This window comes from Homo sapiens, chromosome 22, assembly GCF_000001405.40.
Source record: "Homo sapiens chromosome 22, GRCh38.p14 Primary Assembly".
Classification (NCBI taxonomy): domain Eukaryota; kingdom Metazoa; phylum Chordata; class Mammalia; order Primates; family Hominidae; genus Homo; species Homo sapiens.
In genome coordinates this window covers 46,172,630-46,192,399 of record NC_000022.11, presented here as the reverse complement: position 1 = coordinate 46,192,399, position 19,770 = coordinate 46,172,630, and the positions used below count along the sequence as shown (strand labels likewise).

General features: G+C 44.0%; 1 protein-coding gene across 24 annotated transcripts in view; it reads right to left on the bottom strand.

Moving 5' to 3' along the window:
* Positions 1 to 19,770, bottom strand: part of PPARA (peroxisome proliferator activated receptor alpha) — a 93,231-nt gene that overhangs the window by 51,357 nt on the left and 22,104 nt on the right. For 8 of the 24 annotated variants that reach the window (NM_005036.6, NM_001362872.2, NM_001393946.1 and 5 more), the window contains exon 3: positions 15,564 to 15,647. The exons of 7 other annotated variants lie outside the window; for them this stretch is intronic. The gene's annotated coding sequence lies outside the window, so the exon portion shown is untranslated. Of the gene's footprint in view, positions 1 to 3,577; positions 3,678 to 8,121; positions 8,250 to 11,727; positions 11,888 to 15,563; positions 15,648 to 16,255; positions 16,412 to 19,770 lie in introns of all 24 variants that reach the window. 9 more of the 24 variants (XM_047441423.1, XM_047441424.1, XM_011530240.3 and 6 more) reach the window with 7 other exon arrangements.

The window sequence follows — 19,770 nt, the reverse complement described above, 5'->3', positions numbered from 1 at the left end:
AATTCATAACTAACACGAGGGTATTTTCTGCATCACCTGCTCTTAGATGCGTGACTGTTTGGAAGATTAGGCTAAAATGAGTTATAAATGGGAGAAGAAGCTCTTCCTTCATGAAACCCATTCACCTATAGATTCCTGCAGCATCTTGGGCCCAATTCTGGTGTAGCCCTGATTATCTGTGCTGTTGAAACTTTTTACGTGTCTGTCTCTCCTACTAGACTGTATGCTTTGTGAGGCTAGGGAACATATTCACCTAATCTTTGCATCCATACTTCTAGCACAATCCCTGCTGTGTAGCAGGTGTTCAATGTCTATTTCTTTCTTTCTCTTTTTTTTGAGATGGAGTCTCACTCTGTCACCAGGCTGGAGTACAGTGGCGTGATCTCGGCTCACCGCAACTTCCGTTTCACGGGTTCAAGTGATTCTCCTGCCTCAGCCTCCTGAGTAGCTGGGACTACGGGCGTGCGCCACCACGCCCGGCTACTTTTGTATTTTTAGTAGAGACAAGGTTTCACCATGTTGGCCAGGATGGTCTTGATCTCTTGACCTCGTGATCTGCCCGCCTCAGCCTCCCAAAGTGCTGGGATTACAGGCATGAGCCACCGCGCCTGGCCTCAATATCTATTTCTAACGATCTGCACAGAAGGAGCTCTTGGGAATTACTTACTCCAGGAGTAACCCAGTGATGGTCTGTGAGAATTCACCTCAGCTCTGTCGCCGCAGCCACAGCCTGCTGTCACCCAGAGGGCAAAGCGGCACACACAGTGTGTCCGAAGACTACAAAAATGTAATGGATATCTAGAACAGAAGTCAAAGGGACTCTGCGTGGGAAAGGTGATCTAATTTGCAGAGTGAATTTTAATCATCACAGGGACAGGAAAACAAAGCCAGCAAAAGGAAAAAAAAAAAAAAAACCATACTGAACACAATAGGGAGGAACAGATTATCAGTTCCACTCCCTTCCTCAGGAGCAACAGTTGCAGAGCTTGGGAAGCGTCCTGTGATAAAAGGAAGTGGTTTGTATTAAGAGTAAAGTAGTTTTGCCACTTGCTTGGAATAAAAGGAGACCGAAGGGAAACCCCTCCACTGTGGGCTTCTGGAGAGCAGCTGCCGTGTCTCACCCACGTGTGCACCCTTGTATTGGACATGAGGTTCTTGGACCCAGAAGGTCCTTTGCAAATATTTTCTTTTTTGTTGTTGTTTTTATAGATGCAGTCTCACTCTGTCACCCAGGCTGGAGTGCAGTTGTGCAATCTCGGCTCACTGCAACCCCACGCCTCCCGGGTTCAAGCGATTCTCGTGCCTCAGCCTCCTGAGTAGCTGGGACTACAGGCACACACCACCACGCCCGGCTAATTTTTTGTATATTTAGTAGAGATGTGGTTTCACCATGTTTGGCCAGGCTGGTTTTGAACACCTGACCTCAGGTAATCCGCCCACCTCGGCCTCCCAAAGTGCTGGGATTACAGGCATGAGCCACTGTGCCCAGCCCCCTTTGTAAATATTTTCTGAAATAATGTATTAAATAGCAGGTAGCTGAATACTGTCCCAACTATCAAAACATCTTTATATTCTATGTGATCAGACACTCAAGACAACCAACAAATGGAATTGAGCTTGAATTTTCACACTCAAAACTTTTTTATTTTTGAGACAGAGTCTCTCTCTGTCACTCAGGCTGGAGTGCAATGGCAAGATCATGGCTCACCGCAGCCTTGATCTCCCGGGCCCAGGTGATCCTCTCACCTCAGGCTCCCAAGTGGTTTGGACTACAGGCGCTGCCACCACCCCCAGCTAATTTTTGTATTTTTGTAGAGATAGGTTTCACTATGTTGCCCAGCCTGGTCTCGAACTCCTGGGCTCAAGCGATCCACGCGGCTTGGCCTCTAAGTGTTGGGATTACTGGTGTGAGCCATCATACCCAGCCTGGAACTTATATGTGATACAAAAGCCTCCAGAACAATAATTACGAACGTTAGACTTTCACTTTTTTGACTGCTTATGCTTCTGTACTACTCCCTCTAATTTACTGTATTGTAACCACTTAATATGCTTAATAATGCCACCCTACAGAAATCTATTTACATCTTTCTTTGCTAAATGATGTCTGATCCAACCTCATGGAACACTTTGAGGGTAAAGGATGGAAGTCTTCTCAAACGAGTAGTGTTGCTGGGGCAGGTGACCATCAGAAGACAGATTTTTCTCTTTCCCACCAATTCTAATTTATCACCTTGTCTTTATATTTTTTGAATATCATATTTAACATCTAGAAGTCTTTTCGCTCAATTTGTTGGGCTAAGATTTAAAATAACATTTCAGAATAAACAAACCCAGAAGCTAGAAAGCCCTCTGTACCTTCACCTAGCATCGGTTCACAGAAATAGATGAACACGGCTGGGCGCAGTCGCTCATGCCTGTAATCCCAGCACTTTGGGAGGCCGAGGTGGGCGGATCACGAGGTCAAGAGGCTGAGACCATCCTGGCCAACATGGTGAAACCCCATCTCTATTAAAAATACAAAAATTAGCTGGGCGTGGTGGCACGTGCCTGTAGTCCCTAGCTACTTGGGAGGCTGAGGCAGGAGAATCACTTGAACCTGGGAGGCGGAGGTTGCAGTGAGCTGAGACTGCGCCACTGCACTCCAGCCTGGTGACAGAGCAAGACTCTGTCTCAAAAAAAAAAAAGAAAAAAAATAGAAAGAAAGAAAAGATTAATCATTACCAGTGCCAAATGATTAACACGCTAACAAAGTCAGTTTAGAAAATGCCAATGGAAACACATTTAAAACAGAAGGAAAAGGACCAGACTATAATGGTGGTAAAGACACTCTATCTTAATGAATTTAAATCAAATACATCATAAATAGTTTGCATATCACCTACATTTAACTAGATACATCTAGATCTTGCCCAACAATACCTAAAGCATTAAACTTAAAATTTTGTAATCAAAAGAATTTGGCACATAAACAAGAGTGACAAGCCCAACATGGCACAAGAGCTGTGAGCTCCTCCACCTACCTTTATCTTCAAAGGTGCAAAAAGAATGTTCCCAGCCATTTCCAAGAAAACTCCCTACGGACTTTACACAAAGTTCACACTATATGACTTCCATTTAAAACCCAGCACTTCTTCATAATTTTCAGAAAGTTTGTAGTTATTGCTTTAAAATATCTTACCTTTGTGGATGGTGATATCAAAATAAGAGAAGAAAAGCTGCAAGTTTGGACACATTTTGTGTCCGTTGCAATCAAATTAGAGTAGGCCGAGAGGCCTGCCACAAGAATCAAAAGTCAACTGAAATGAAATTTGTATTCACCACTCAAGAGCTCTGACCTGATACAGGATGGGACGCATAGCAAGGCAGGTAAGGTTGAAGCATTTAGCAGCCAGATGACGAGGAAGCAGCCTGGGCGCAGTGGCCTGGCCAGTTACAAAACTGAAGTGACACACAACTAACGATGACATTTCAGAGCAAGAAAGGCCTAATGGGTTTTAGCAGAAATATATCAGATACACGGCAGGCAAACTTTACAGGGCTGAGGCTTGAACTCGTGGAACACATGAGTACGCACCTGAGCTAATGACTGTGCTTAACGCTGGAGACCACAGACAGGCAATCTCAGCTTTGAAGGGATCCACAGCCCCAGTGCACTGGGACAGGGGGGTGTGGCACTGGCACGGGAAGGAAAACAAGGAGAAATAATATTATTGAACATCACACGTGGGCCAGGCCCTCAATGGCAGCTGCATGTATTTTTTTTCTTTAATCTATCCACGCCAGGGCAGGGTAGGTATTATTGGTCCCATTTATAAAGAAGAAAAATGCAGAGGTTGAGAGAAGTGAGTAACTTGCCCAACTAGCAGGTGAGAGGTACAAATAAACAAATGGTTGCAAAGGCAGCATGATGAGGGCTGTTACTGGGGGAATCCTGGAGGGCCAGGGAGCCTACATACAGGAAGGGACACCCAAGATGAATCCTAAAGGCTGACTGGATATTCCATAGGAAAACCCAACAGAAAGGAGGGTAAGGGCCATTTCAAGGAAAAGGGAACAGCATATCTGCATATATGGCCCAAAACATCATTGAATAAGTGGTTGAGAATGGCTGAACAACTGGCTCCAAGAGTTGTATCAGTTACATGTTACCGTGTAACAAACTCTGAAACTTAATGGCTTATAACTACAACCATTTTATTTGTTCACAATTCTATGGGTCAGCAAATTGGGCTGAGCTCAGCCAGGTGGCTCTTCTACTGGTCTGACCTGGGATAATTCACATAGCTGTGGTCATTTTGTGGCTCAGCTATGGCTGGATGGCCTCAGTCACATGCCTGGTAGCTGGTGCCAGGCTGTTCGCTAGGTATTTCTCACCATGAAGTCTTTCATCCTCACAGAGGCCACCTCAGGCTTCTCAGATGGTGGCAGCATTCCAAGAGGTTGAATGTGGAATCTGCAAAGCCTCTTAAGGTAGACCTCATTTGTAAGTTAGGCAGTGTCCTTTCTGTTACGTTCTGTGGGTCAAAGCAAGTCACAAGGCAAGCCAGATCCAAGAGGTGGGGAAATAAACTCTACCTCTTGATGGGAAGAGCCTCAAAGAACTTGTGACCATTTTTGATCTACCTCAAGGGAGAAGTGGCAAGAGGTGAGTCTGCAGAGGTAGGAGAGGCCAGCAGTGCCAATCATGGCACATTGTTAATCCCCATGTTTAGGAGTTTGGATTTCATCCTAAAACAATAAGGAGCCATGGAAGACTATTGAAGGGAAGTGTGACGTGATCAGATTTGTATCAGGATTGTCTTGATGGCAAGAAGGAATCCAGATTCAAAGGGAACAAGACTAGAAGCAGCACAACTCCTTACGGGGCTGTTGTAACTGTCCCAAGAAAAGATGGTGACAGCCCTGGGTAATGACACAAGAGGCAGGAGGACTGCGAGATAAAGAGCTGATCCTGACAACTGGCAGCTGCCTGGACCAGGGACCTGGGACAGAGTCTAGGATGAATGTATGCTCTGGCTTAAGTCACTGGGCAGAGGAGGTGGCACCCACGAAATTTGGAATATAAAGACAAGGAGGGCAGGTTTTGAGCATGGAGAGAAGGGATTACAGGCATGAGCCAATGCACCTGGCCATGAGTTCAGTTTTAAAATGGTGTTTAAGGTACCTGAGGCTTGACCTCTGTAAGCCAGGTCTCCTCTTCTGAGAAGCAATGATGATGCTTACAGTGTTCACCTCACAGGGGTTCTTAGCAGCAGCAGCAGTGCCTAGAGAGGCTGCAAGGCCAACCTCAGGGGAAGGCAGTGCTATGACCTTGAAAACTCCACCTTATACAGTAGATATCCCTTATCCATGGTTTCACTTTCCTTGGTTTTAGTTACCCCCAGTACAGTACAATAAGATATTCTGAGAGAGAGAGGAAGAGACCCTTTTGTTACAGTGTATGTTATAATTGTTCCATTTTATTATCATTGTTGTTAGTCTCCTACTGTGCCTAATTTATAAACTTTATCATAGGTATGCATATACAGGGAAAAAACATAGCATATATAGGGCTTGATACTATCTGAGGCTTCAGGTATCCACTGTGGGGGCTTGGAGTGTATCCTCTTTGGATAAGGGGGGGAGCACTGTACATTTCTTTGAACCTCAGTTTTGTTCTTTTCTTTTATTTATTTATTTTTTTTGAGACAGAGTCTCGCTCTCTCACCTAGCCTGGAGTGCAGTGGCGTGATCTCGGCTCACTGCAACCTCCGCCTCCTGTGTTCAGGCGTGAGCCACTACGCCTGGCTGAACCTCAGTTTCAATAACTGTAAATTTAGGTTAATGACAGCTACATGGCCAGGTGGTTCGAGATGTCTATAGAGTAATGGGCACATGGTGCTGCTCCTTCCTCCCTCGTTACTGGGAATCCTTGCTCCCTCGGCCCCCAGCCCACGCCTTCATCCTTGAATCATGCTCTTCTCTCTGCCCGGCTGGTCTTCCCAAACTATAACATCTACAAAGGCGGGACCACACCTTATTCAAGTGTGTTGCACAAATACACCCTTGAATAAACTGAGCTGAACCAGAAAGGGCAGAGAAAGAGGAAAATTAGATTTATGTGAGACCTTACAAGTAACCAAGACAATGTCTGAGACATGTCAAGGACTTCGCATTACTTAAATAAAATGATGCAGTGTGCTGCAAATTACTCAAGGTTGGCTGATGGCATCCGGTCTATGAATGTAAGTCTACACTGCCAATCCTGTGGTATCTAAGTTCTCAGCAAATATGCCATATTGGTTTTAAAGGAAAGAGAAAAGGCCCTTTCCCTTTAACTTTTAGGGGCCAACTCAGGGAAGTCAAAATTTGCTCAAGACCAAGAGGAACCAACCAAGTAGAAAGATAATCCCTTCTGCAATAGTCCTATATGCTGAAGGTTAGTGTGTGTGTATATATATATATATATATATATATATATATATATATATATATATATATTTTTTTTTTTTTTTTTTTTTTGGAGACGGAGTCTCACTTTGTCACCCAGGCTGTAGTGTAGTGGCGTGATCTTGGCTCACCACAACCTCTGCCTCCTGGGTTCAAGTGATTCTCCTGCCTCAGCCTCCCGAGTAGCTGGAATTACAGGCGGCTGCCACCATACCTGGCTAATTTTTGTATTTTTAGTAGAGACGGGGTTTCACCATGTTGGCCAGGCTGGTCTTGAACTCCTGACCTCAGGTGATCCACCTGCCTCAGCCTCCCAAAGTGCTGGAATTACAGATGTGAGCCACCGCGCCCAGCCAGAGGTGGTATATTTTTAAACTTCTCTCCTTGAGCTTTCTTCTTCAATTTTTAGATTAAGCCAACAGTATTGTCTTTTGCCAGAGCAGACAAGTTCTGAATGTACTTCTGCTTCTTCAAAGTCTGGTGAAAAGCAGCAGCAAAAGAGGGGAACAAGGTCAACCACAGAGTTTTAAAATGAGGGCACTCCAAGTTCAAATGGTCCTCACTCTAGAAAGTTATGAGAAATGGGAGACACTAGCATGTTCTGATGAGAGCCATGCAGAAACACTGCACTCATGAAAAAGGAAGAGTATGCTATCAAAAGGGATATTCAGAGAATAAGAACTTTTCTAGGGAATTACAAACTCAATTGCAAACCTAATAGAAGGGTTGGAAGATAAAGGGCCTGATCTCACAGAAAGTAGAGTGAAAACAGATGGAACATGGGAGAAGCAAGAGAAGTAAGAGAGGACCAGTCCAGGAGACAAAACTCAACCAAATAACAGGAGCTCCGAAGAGCAGGAAGCAAGAACATGGAGCACAGGAAACCACCAACCAGTACGTTCAGGATAACTTCTCAGAAATGATGGGCATGAATTTCCAGATTGCAAGGGCCCAGCAGGGACTCCATGGAATGGATGAATACACACACACAGATGGTCACTCACTGGGAAATTCCAGACCATGCTGGAGACAAAGAGAAGACCCTACGAGCTTTCTGAGAGGGAAAAACACGTCGCACACAAACGATCCAACAGAATACTTTTTTTGTTTTTTGAGACGGAGTCTTGCTCTGTCGCGTAGGCTGGAGTGCAGTGACACAATCTCAGCTCACTGCAACCTCCACCTCCCAGGTTAAAGCAATTCTCGTGCCTCAGCCTCCCGAATAGCTGGTACTACAGGCGTGCGCCACCACGCCTGGCTAATTTTTGTATTTTTTGTAGAGAAGAGGTTTTGCCATATTGGCCAGGCTGGTCTTGAACTTCCGACCTCAGGTAATCTCGGCCTCCCAAATTGCTGGGATTACAGGTGTGAGCCACTGTGCCTGGCCAAATAGAATACTTTTGGATTTTCCAACAGCAACATGGGAAGTGAAAGATAACAGTTGGAAACCTTCTAAATATGGGAGGAAACTGGCTTCTGACCCCATAGCCCTATATTCAGAGAAGCCCTCCATCAGGTGCAAGGGTAGCAAAGCTCCTGTTTTCCCCATTAGTGTAACTAAAAGGTAACTGTGTCTCTCTCTGAGATTCTGGACTCTGTCTCCCCATGGTACTTGGTACTTCTCTCCTATTATGGTAATTATTGGTGAACATGGTTTCTTATGATGTTTTAGAAGGTAACTCATGGCACCTTTTCTAGACATCCAACTTGCAGTGGCGTGTTGCAGGTTGCTTGTGTTTAATTTGCACTGCAATATTATTGTTTTATAAAAATGAAGTCATCATCAAATCATCATCAGCCATTTTTCAGATCCAACCCTGCAATAAATTAGAGATGTTGATAATGATAGTAGTTCCAGCTAACACTTTTTGAGCCCTTATCCTATGCCAGGCACTGTCATAAATAAGAACCTAATGTGCATTAACTCACTTCCTGGTAACAGCAACCCCATGAGGCAGGCATTATCATTATGTTTACTTTACAGATGAGGAAACTGAAGTACAGAGAGGCTACCACAACATGCGCTGGGGCACAGAACCACCGGGACCGGGGTTTGACCTCAGGCAGCAAGCCTCTAGTTTCTGCTTCTAACAACCACGTTAGAACCCTCTGTGTGGTTTACTGTGTGTCATCTCCCAGTGTGAACATTTCTCAACTTTACTTCCAACCATCAACGATCTAGACATTTGATAATTTAGCTTTTTTTGTTTTGTTTTGTTTTGTTTTGGACACAGAGTTTCCTTCTTTCACCCAGGCTGGAGTGCATGGTGCAATTACAGCTCACTGCAATATCGACCTCCCAGGCTCAAGTGATCCTCCCACCTCAGCCTCCCGGGTAACTGGGACTACAGGCACATGCCACCATGCCTGGCTAATTTTTCTATTTTTTGTATAGACAGGGTTTCGCCATGTTGCCCAGGCTGGTCTCAAACTCCTGAACTCAAGTGATCTGCCCTCCTGGGCCCCGCAAAGTGCTGGGACTACTGGCGTGAGCCATTGAGCCTGACCTGATAATCCAGATTCTGAATTACTCACAAGTTATTTTTCTTTCCCAGTTTATCTGTGTTGAGTAGATGATCCTCTTGATGAATATTACTCTCTCTTGGAGTCTTCAGTCAAGTTTAGAGATGAGGGAAAATGTAGTATTATTCTAATGTGTTTTTAAAACAAAGACTGGAAGTTTAAACTAATGACAAATTGCAATGTGAGGATTACCTGAACTCTTGCTGCTTATGCTGCTAAACGAGTGTGTGTTCAGTGGAGAATTACCCATTTACTCATTTAGCAGATGGAGTCATTTCTGTAAGCACCGCCACATTGGGGCACCCGAGTGTGGGTCCTCAGATGAGGATTTCAGAGCCAAAGCCACAGTTCTAATGCTTATTTCAAGACAACTTTTTTTCATTTAAAAGACAGCTTTATGGGCCCGGTGCTGTGGCTCATGCCTATAATCCCAACACTTTGGGAGGCCGAGGTGGGTGGATCACCTGAGGTCAGGAGTTCAAGACCAGCCTGGCAATCATGGCGAAACCCTGTCTTTACTAAAAATAGAAAAATTAGCTGGGCATGGTGGCGTATGCCTGTAGTCTCAGCTACTTGGGAGGCTGAGGCATGAGAATCGCTTGAACCCGGGAGGCGGAGGTTACAGTGCTCTGAGACGGTGCCATTGCACTCCAGCCTGGACGATGGAGCGAGACTCTGTCTCAAAAAATAAAATAAAAACAAAACAACAAAAGAAAGCTTTATGGACATGTAACTGGCATACAATAATCTGTACATATTTAAAGTGTACAAATTTGGTATTTTTTGCCGTATGTATCAACCTGTGAAACCACTATCATAGCCGAGACAGTACGCAGACCCATCATCCTCAAAGCTCTCCTGTGCCCATCTAATCTCTCCCTCTTGCCCCTCCATGCCCACTGTCACTGGTCTGCTTCCTGTCATTACAGATTAGTTTGTACTTTCTAGTTTTATACAAATAGAATCAAGCAGTATGTATTATACTTATTTTTCCTGTCTTCTTTTACTCAGCACAATTATTTCAGCATTCATCCATGTTGTTATGGGTATTCATAGGCCATTCCTTTTGATTGCAAAGTAATACTCCATTGTATGGATAACCACAGTTTGAGAATATATTCACCTATTAATGGCATCTGAATGGTTTCCAAGTCTGAGCTATTATAAATAAAGCAGCTATAGACATTCAGGACTAGACTCTGTATGGAATATATGCTTTCTTTTTTCTTGGCCAAATACTTAGGAGTGGGATTGCCAGATCTCATGGTAGGCATTGGTTTAACTTTATAAGAAACTGCTGGCTGGGCATGGTGGTTCACACCTGTAATCCCAGCACTTTGGGAGGCCAAGGCAGGCAGACTGTCTGAGGTCAGGAGTTCAAGACCAGCCTGGCCAATGTGGCAAAACCCCGTCTCTACTAAAAATAAAATTTAAAAAAATTAGCCAGGCGTGGTGGTGCACACCCGTACTCCCAGCTACTCAGGAGGCTGAGGCAGGAGAATCACTTGATCCCAGTGAAGTAGAACAGGTCTTTCCTAATTTTCCTGTGGCTTTTTCTTTCCACCTGAGGTGTCTGGTGAAGGGGGCCCTCTAACTGCCTTAGGTTCGGCTCAGGTCACTAGAGTCTTACAGTAAGTTGCCAGACAAGGCTGTAACCATTTGGGGCATGTCTAGACTGTGATCATCCAGGAATTGATGTATGGGAACTGATCTGGATGCCCAGGGTGTCCTCCAACCCCAGTCACTACCCTAAATATATGACCAATCATTTCCCTATTTATTGTACCCTCGGCTGGCCACCCGACATTAAAAGAAGGCCATTCCACTTCACACAGAACCCTCAATCTTTGGGGGGGACAACTTAATTCCATAATCTCCAGCAAAACCTTTCTTAAAATTCTTTAACATGCACCCCAGAGGAGTGGGTTTCGATGCTTTTCCTCCCATCCCGCCCTTTGTGATGCACACTCACTCTCACTTTCGTTCCAGACTGACCAGACTGGGTCCTATTACGGAAGTTTCAGGTGCTGCTTAGCTAGGAGAGTACCTTATTCCTGCCACAGCCTGCTGCAGCTGTGGGGCAGCTCCTGTCAGCTGTATGTGATGCCCTGGTTCTGGTCAATCACACACTCGCCTCAGAGCACACAGTCCGTGCTAAGAGATCTGTGTCTCCCCACATCACGGCCCTCCCGGAACCATCTCTTTCACACACCTCCCCGCTCCCAGTTCCCGATCCTTAGTCAAGGCAGGAAGCCACTCTTCCCATTTTCAGTTTCTTTCCTGACCAACTTAGTGAGCCACTCTCGTGTCCTGCATCGGCTAAGGTGTAAGTTTCATCTGAATCAGTGAGCTACTCTCACTGTCCCCAGCCCCTCTGGGTCTGGGCAACATGGCAAAACCCTGTCATCTGAATCAGTGAGCTACTCTCACCATCCCCAGCCCCTGCTGGAACCGTCCTGCAACCCCTTTATAGGTTCCGTTGTGCTGTCTAGGAAGGACACCGGGATGCAGGAGAGCCAATCTCCTTTCCGGGCTAAAGTCCTCCCATTGGCACCAAAGGTCCCAGGTCTCCCTCGACCCGGGCTCCAGTTCCACAGGCAAGGGAGACAGAAAATCTGCCATCTCCAATCCCGGACGAGCCCCCAGAAAATGTAGTGGGAAATCAGAGAACTGGAGCGATTGATGGGGTTCAGGAGGATTTATTTAAGGTGTACACTGGCTCAGTGGACTTGCATCCAGAAAGTCAGAGCACCAAACAAAGAAGGCAAGTACCTTTTACGCATCTTGAGGCAGGAAATATGTGAGGCAGGAAGCAGGCATACAGAAGTGAGAATAAAGGCCGTTATCATCTTGTGATATTCTTGTGACATGCCTTACATCTTAAGAAAAACATGTTTTGCAGCTTAAGCTTATCTGCCTTGTGAACTTGCAGCTGTGCAGGGAAAACAGGAATTTACAGAACTTACAAAATACATGGAGGCTAGATAAGATTAATGTTTCACACAAGGAAAATTAATATTCTTTCTTAACTCTAACTTCAGTGGGGGAGTGGTTACTTAAAGCCTTTCAGTCTGGGCCTAAACAGCATTTTTATTAAAGAAACTATCATTATTTCTATTATTATTACTGCTATTGTTACCTTTATTATTATTTTTCTAATTCATTGGGAGGCAGAGGTTGCAGTGAGCTGAGATCGCGCCACTGTACTCCAGCCTGGGAGAGCAAGACTCCATCTCAAAAAAAAAAAAAAGCAACTGCCAACCTGTTTTTCAATGTGTTTGTATCATTTTACCTTCCTGTCAGCAAAGATGAGAGTTCTAGTTCCTGCACATCATGGCTAATGTTTGGTATGGTCAACCTTTCTAATTTTGGCCATTCAAATGGGCATGTAGTGGTATCATACCACCACTGTGTAAGTTGTAGAACATTAGCATGGGGACTGTAGGTTTCATCTGCATTGCTCTGATGACTGATAACATTGAGAATTTTTCACATGCTTACTTGCTATTCATCTATCTTCTTTGACAATGTGTTTGTTCAGATCTCTTGCCCATTTTTAAAACTGGGTTATTTTCTTCTAGGTGAGTTTTGAGAATTTTTTCTGTCTTCCAGCTACAATACCTTTATCAGGCAAATGCTTTTCGAATATTTCTTCCCAATGTGTAACTTGTGTTTTCATTCTCCTAAAACTGTCTTTTGAACAGTAAAAGTTTCATTTTGATGAAGTTCAATTTATTGATTTTTTTCTTTCATAGATTGTGTTCTCGGTGTCATATCTATGAAATCTTTGCCTAGACCAAGGTCACAAAGATTTTTCTCCTGTGTTTTCTTCTAGAAGTTTTATAGTTTTAAATTTTACCTTCAGATCTCTGATCTATTTTGAGTTAATTTTTGTGTATGGCATGAGGCATGGGTCAAAGTTCATTTTGGGCATATGGATAACCATTGCACCAGCACCATTTATTGAAAAGACTGTCCTTTCTCTACCAAATTGCCTTTGCACCTCTGTCAAAATCCAGTTGTTTTTTTAAGTTAGAAATGAATGTGGGATTTAATCAACTGCTTTTCTGCATCTACTAAGATGATCACATGGTTTTTCTTTTTCATCCTGTTAATACGATGAGTTACATTAATTTTTGATTATCAAGCCATTTGGCATTTCCTGGGATGAATCCTACTGGTTATGATGTAATATTTGCTATACTTTGAATGTATCCCCCAAATTTCATGTGCTGGAAACTTAGTTTCCAAATTCATATGTTGATAGCATTTGAAGGTAGCCTTTGGGAGGTAATTAGGATTATAAGATCATCAGGGTGGGGCCCCCATGATAGGACTGGTGACTTTATAAGAAGAGGAAGAGAGCCCTGAGCTGACAGGCTCTTTGCCTTGCTTCATGTCACGATCCAGCAGGAAGGCCCTCACCGGATGCCAGCACCATGCTCTTGGACTCACTGGGTACATACCTGAGATTCCAATCTATCTCACTGTGTATACATCTGAGATTCTGATCTGCTTCACTGTGTACACATCTGAGATTCTGATCTATCTCACTGTGTATACACCCGAGATTCTGATCTATCTCATTGGTACACACCTGATGTTCTGATATGGTTTCTTGTCTTTATGCCCAAGATTCTGATATACCTCCCTCTCCTAACAAACACTCACATCCCTGCACTGTTCCTGGCCCTGCGTGAGTATCAGGCACCATTCCTGGCTGGCACAAGTACTGGGCACTGTTCCTTCTAATCCTCTCAGATGGTTCTTTTCCTGGCCTCAAGTAGTTTTGCTCATATGGATGCACCAAGAAGTACTTTGGTAGATCTCTGGAGTCCCTCTGTATATGGCTTGCACCTCTCATACTTTGCTTTGGATAATCTATACACCATGGTCTCCCTGGACTCTCAGCTCTATTTTGTCAACTGAGGAAGTCTGCCAAGATCTGCCTCAGTTTCCCCTCTCCCTGCACTGCAACCTGGAAACTCTCTCAAGCCACACCTCTCACCTTGTCTTACAACCATCAGTGCCCTTCACTGCCTGATGTCCAGCATCTTGAAGAACATTGTTTCATGTATTTGTATGGAGGTTTTGTTATCTCAGATGAGAAGGTAAGTCAGTCCCTGTTATTCTATCCTGGAAAATGGAGTCTGTAATTTCTATAGGCATAATAATTTGGTTACAAGGCCACAGCCAGTATATTTCTTAATTGTTTAAAACTCATGTCACCTTCTGACAGATAGAAATATTTCATGTTTTCCTTTAATATTGTTTTAAATTTCAAAGTAGATAAACTGTTAGACTACACTTTTGAAATCTACCCCCTCCTTACGAGTCCTAAAATGCCTCTTTGGGTAGGTGCCTGAGGTTCTGATATAGTTCCTTGGCTATATGCTCTAGACTGATAGACCTCCTTAGATCTATACCCCAAATTCTGCTATACCTCCCTGGGTATAAACCTGAGATCCTGATATAAATCCTTAGCTAGATACTTAAAGCCTCAAGATATGCCTTCTTGAGTATATACCTGAGACTCTGCTATACCTCTTTGGGTAAATACCCAAGATTCTGATATATCTCACTGGTTACACACCTGAGGTTCTCATCTGTCTCACTGGGTACACACCTGAGGTTCTGACCTGTCTCACTGGCTACACGCCTGAGGTTCTGACCTGTCTCAACAGGTACACGCTTGAGGTTCTGACCTGTCTCACCGGGTACACGCCTGAGGTTCTGATCTGTCTCATCGGGTACATGCCTGAGGTTCTGATCTATCTCATTGGCATACACCTGAGGTTCTGACATGGCTCCTTAGTTTATGCCCAAGATTCTGATATACCTCTCTCTCTTCACAAAAACTCAAATCCCTGCTGCAACTCAATACTGGGATGCATTCCAAAATTTAGACTACATAAGACTGTTTGAAGTTCACTTTGAATCCTGGAGGATATGATACTATCGATTTTTTTTTTTTTTTTTTTGAGATGGAGTCTTGTTCTGTTGCCCAGGCTGGAGTGCAGTGGCACGGTCTCAGCTCACTGCAACCTCTGCCTCCTGGATTCAAGCATTCTCCTGCCTCAGCCTCTGAGACTATCAAATTTTTATACCAAATATTGTCATCAGTCCTGACATAGACATAATGTTGGGATTAATTAATGCTCAATAAAATAGTAAAGGAAGAACACTAGTAGGCTATTAAACAGATTATTTTTATTTTATTTTATTTTATTTTTTGAGACAGGGTCTCACTTTGTTGCCCAGGCTGGAGTGCAGTGGCGTGATCTTGGCTCACTGCAAGCTCTGCCTCCTGTGTTCACGCCATTCTCCTGCCTCAGCCTCCTGAGTAGCTGGGACTACAGGCGCCTGCCACCATGCCCGGCTAATTTTTTTGTATTTGTAGTAGAGACAGGGTTTCACTGTGTTAGCCAGGATGGTCTCAATCTCCTAACCTCGTGATCTGCCCGCCTTGGCCCCCCAAAGTCCTGGGATTACAGGCGTGAGCCACTGCGCCCGGCCAACAGATTCTTTTTAAAAGTGCTCAAAGGATCACCTAATGATAACAGAATTCATCCACCAGGAAGACACGATGCTCCTAAACGTGTATGTACCTCTTATCTATGAAGCAGGAAGCACGTCCTCACATGACACTGAATCTGCTGGCACTTTGATCTTGAACTTCCCAGCCTCCAGAACTGTGAGAGAAAAATTTCTGTTGTTTATAAATCACCCAGTTTACGGTATTTTGTTATAGCAGCTTGAATGGACTAAGACACCATTCAACAACACTAGAATATACTTTTTTCCCTAAAAGCCCATGGAACATTCACCTAGACAGACCATGTCTTTGACCATTAAACAAACCTCAACAAATTTAAAAGAATTGAAGCCATACAGAGTATATAATCTAATAACAATGAACTTAAACTATAATAACAGAAAAACAATAAAAAGAAAGTACTGATACGGAGTCTCACTCTGTGGCCCAGGCTGGAGTGCAGTGGCATGATCTTGGCTCATTGTAACCTCCGCCTCCTGGGTTCAAGTGATTCTCCTGCCTCAGCCTCCAAAGTAGCTGGGATTGCAGGCACATGCCAGCATGCTTGGCTAATTTTTGTATTTTTAGTAGAGATGGGGTTTTGCCATGTTGGCCAGGCTGGTCTCAAACTGCTGACCTCTGGTGATCCGCCCGCCTTCGCCTCCCAAAGTGCTGAGATTACAGGCATGAGCCACTGAGCGTAGCCCTGTAATTTACATTTCTACCTATCTATCTGTCCGTCCGTCCATCCATCCATCCACCTACCTATGAATGACAGGGTCTTGCTATGTTGCCCAGGCTGGAGTACAGTGGCACAATTTCGGCTCCTTGCAACCTCTGCCTCCTAGGATCAAGCAGTCCTCCTACCTCAGCCTTCCAAGTGTTAGGATTACAGGTGTGAGCCACCGTGCCTGGCTAGAACTGTTTAAAACAAACCAGAAAACCAAGAAACCTGTACACAAATGTTCACAGCAGCTTTATTCATAATAACTCCAAGCTGGAAACAACCTAGATGTCCTCCAATGGGTGAATAGTTAAACCATGGTTCCTCCATACCATGGAAATTACTCAGCAATAAAAAGGAATAAACTGTTGATGCACCAACAAGCTGGATGAGTCTCATGAGAATTACCCTGAGTCTCAAACGGTTATATGCCATATGATTCATTATGTGACATTCTTTTTTTTTTTTTTTTAAGATGGAGTCTCGCTTTGTCACCCAGTCTGGAGTGCAGTGGTGTGATTTCAGCTCACTACAAGCTCCGTCTCCCGGGTCCACACCATTCTCCTGCCTCAGCCTCCCGAGTAGCTGGGACTACAGGCGCCCGCCACCACGCTTGGCTAATTTTTTGTATTTTTTAGTAGAGATGGGGTTTCACCATGTTAGCCAGGATGGTCTCGATCTCCTGACCTCGTGATCCGCCTGCCTCGGCCTCCCAAAGTGCTGGGATTACAGGCGTGAGCCACCGCGCCCGGCCTATGTGACATTCATAAAATGACAGAAATGGGCAACAGATTAATGACTGGCAAAATTAAAAAAGGGATGGGAAGGTAGGAGAGAAGTGGGTTTGGCTATAAAAGGCACCATGACCACTGATTGGTGATGGAAACATTATGTATCTTGATGGTATCAATGTCAGTATCCTGACTGTGATATCGTCCTCTCACTTTGCAAGATGTTACCCTTGGGGAAAACTGGAAAGAGTGCTGGGGATCTCTGTATTATTTCCTAAAACTGCACGTGAGGCCAAGGCGGGCAGATCACTTGAAGTCAGGAATCTGAGACCAGCCTGGCCAACAAGGTGAAACCCCATCTCTACTAAAAATATAAAAACGAGCCAGGTGTGGTGCACGCCTATGAACCCAGCTACTCAGGAGGCTGAGGCAGGAGAATCACTTGAATCCAGGAGACAGAGGTTGCAGTCACCTGAGATTGCACCAGTACACTCCAGCCTGGGTGACAGAATGAGACTCTGTCTCAAAAAAAAAAAAGTAAAAAAAACTACAATTATCCAAAAAATGTTTTAAGTTAATTTTTAAAAGTACTAAAAGGGAGGAAAATTAGGAGTGATTTTTTGTTTGATTGTTTTTTTGATACAGGGTCTTGCTCTGTTGCCCAGGCTAGAGTGCTTTAGTGTGATCATGGTTCACTGCAGCCTCGAACTCCCAGGCTCAAGCAATCCTCCTACCTCAGCCTCCTGAGTAGCTAGGACTACAGGCACGAACCATGATGCCTGGATAATTTTTTAAATTTTTGTAGAGACAGGGTCTCACTATGTTTCCCAGGCTGTTCTCAAACTCCTGAGCTCAGGTGATCCTCCCACCTCGGCTTCCCAAAGTGCTGGGATTACAGGAGTGAGTTACTATGTCTGGCCAACAGTGGTATTTTAAGAACAGGTGATCTGTTCTTCAGGTTTTCTGCTCTGCAGCTTTCAGAATCCAGACATGGTAAACATAGCTAGGATATATAACATAGAAACTGTCTCTTTTATTTATTTGCTTGCCTTTTAACTTTTTATTTGGAAGTACTTTCACTTATAGAAAAGTTGCACCCCCAAAACAGAGTAAAGAACATCCTAACTTTACCCATATTCACTGGTAGTTACCAACTTAACCATCTGCTTTATCATAATTTCCTTCCTTCCTTCCTTCCTTCCTTCTTTCTTTCTTTCTCTCTCTCTTTCTTTCTCCCTCTCTCTCTCTCTCTCTCTCTCTCTCTTTCTTCCTTCTTTCAAGACAGAGTCTTGCTCTGTTGCCAGGCTGCAGTGCAGTGGTGCAATCTCGGCTCACTGTAACCTCTGCCTCCTGGGTTCAAGCAATTCTCCTGCCTCAGCCTCCCGAGTAGCTGGGACTACAGACGTGCACCACCACGCCCAGCTAATTCTTTGTATTTTAGTAGAGAGGGTCTCGATCTCCTGACCTCACAATCCACCCACCTCGGCCTCCCAAAGTGCTGGGATTACAGGCATGAGCCACTGCACCTAGCCCATAATTTCTTTCTTTATAGGTATGTATGTATATATGTGTATGTGTGTGTGTATTTGAGGGTGAGTTGCATGCCTCATGGCCCTTTCTCCTAAATACTAAACTACACGTTTGCTAAGAATGGCAGTGTGCTCCTACACACCACAGAACACTTCGCTTCTGTTAATTTAACAGATACAGTTCAATCTATGATTCGTATTCAAATTTTGTTAATTGACCCAATAATGTCCTTGATAGCATTTTTCCTCCTTCAGTACTGGATGCTGTTCAGAGTCAGGTATTACATTTTATTGTCTTCTCTCTTTTAATCTGAAACATTTCCGCAGCTTTTCTTTGTCTTTTATGATACTGACATTTTTAAGGAATACCATTTCCAAGCTTTCTTCTTCCCCTTGGCAAACAGAATGTAGCAGCTGCCTTAGTACTGACTTATAGTAACTTATATTGTGACAGATATCTGCATAGAAGAATCCACAGTTAATAAGAACCTCTAACTCGAGGTATATCCCATGTCCCATCCTGAAGCTGGGTGCTTAAATAGGCTCCCAGCCTCTCTAACAACTTGTACGCCCTTCATTTTGCCAGCTTGCCAACTGGAAATGTGTCCAAGGCTTTCTTATTTGGAACTAGAGGTTCCCAGAGCTACATTCCTATTCAACACAACAAATAAAAGAAAACTAAAAACATAACTGTTTTGTAAATCCCCAAATAAGAGAGTGAAAAGAACAGCCACAACATCTACCCGATAGCATGACTTTAAGCAACTCAACATAATTCAAACATTTAGCAAACATCGGTTAACAATAAACCAAGTACCTTCTGCAAGAGCTGGTTGCAGGACAAATCCTTTTCTAAAGGGACAAAGATGAATGCAACTTAAAGTGACAAGAACACTAAGGGAGCAGAAGCAAGCCATTTAAGGGTAAAAATGGAATTTTCTGCTATAAAGTAAAGCTCTGCATAAAAATAAGACAGAACAGGAAATCTAGTAAGGGTTTATTCATAAGACCCCATGCTGAGGATTTCAAGGAGACAGTCACGTTTCTGGGTAACTGACTATGGGATTGTCCCTCATGGGGCCAAGTAACCTGTCAAAGCAACGAGGCTTCCTACTCAACAAGCCCTGTGGCCACCCTGCCAGCTGGAGGCTCTATCTGAAGCCTGGAAACAGCTGTCAACATGCCTTGAATCCAACAGGTCCCGATGTGACCTCGGTCTTTTACCTCCGCACAAAGTTACGGCTTATGGCTGTTTGGACAGTCTGGTTTGTCGATCGTTTGGTCGGAAAGTCTGTT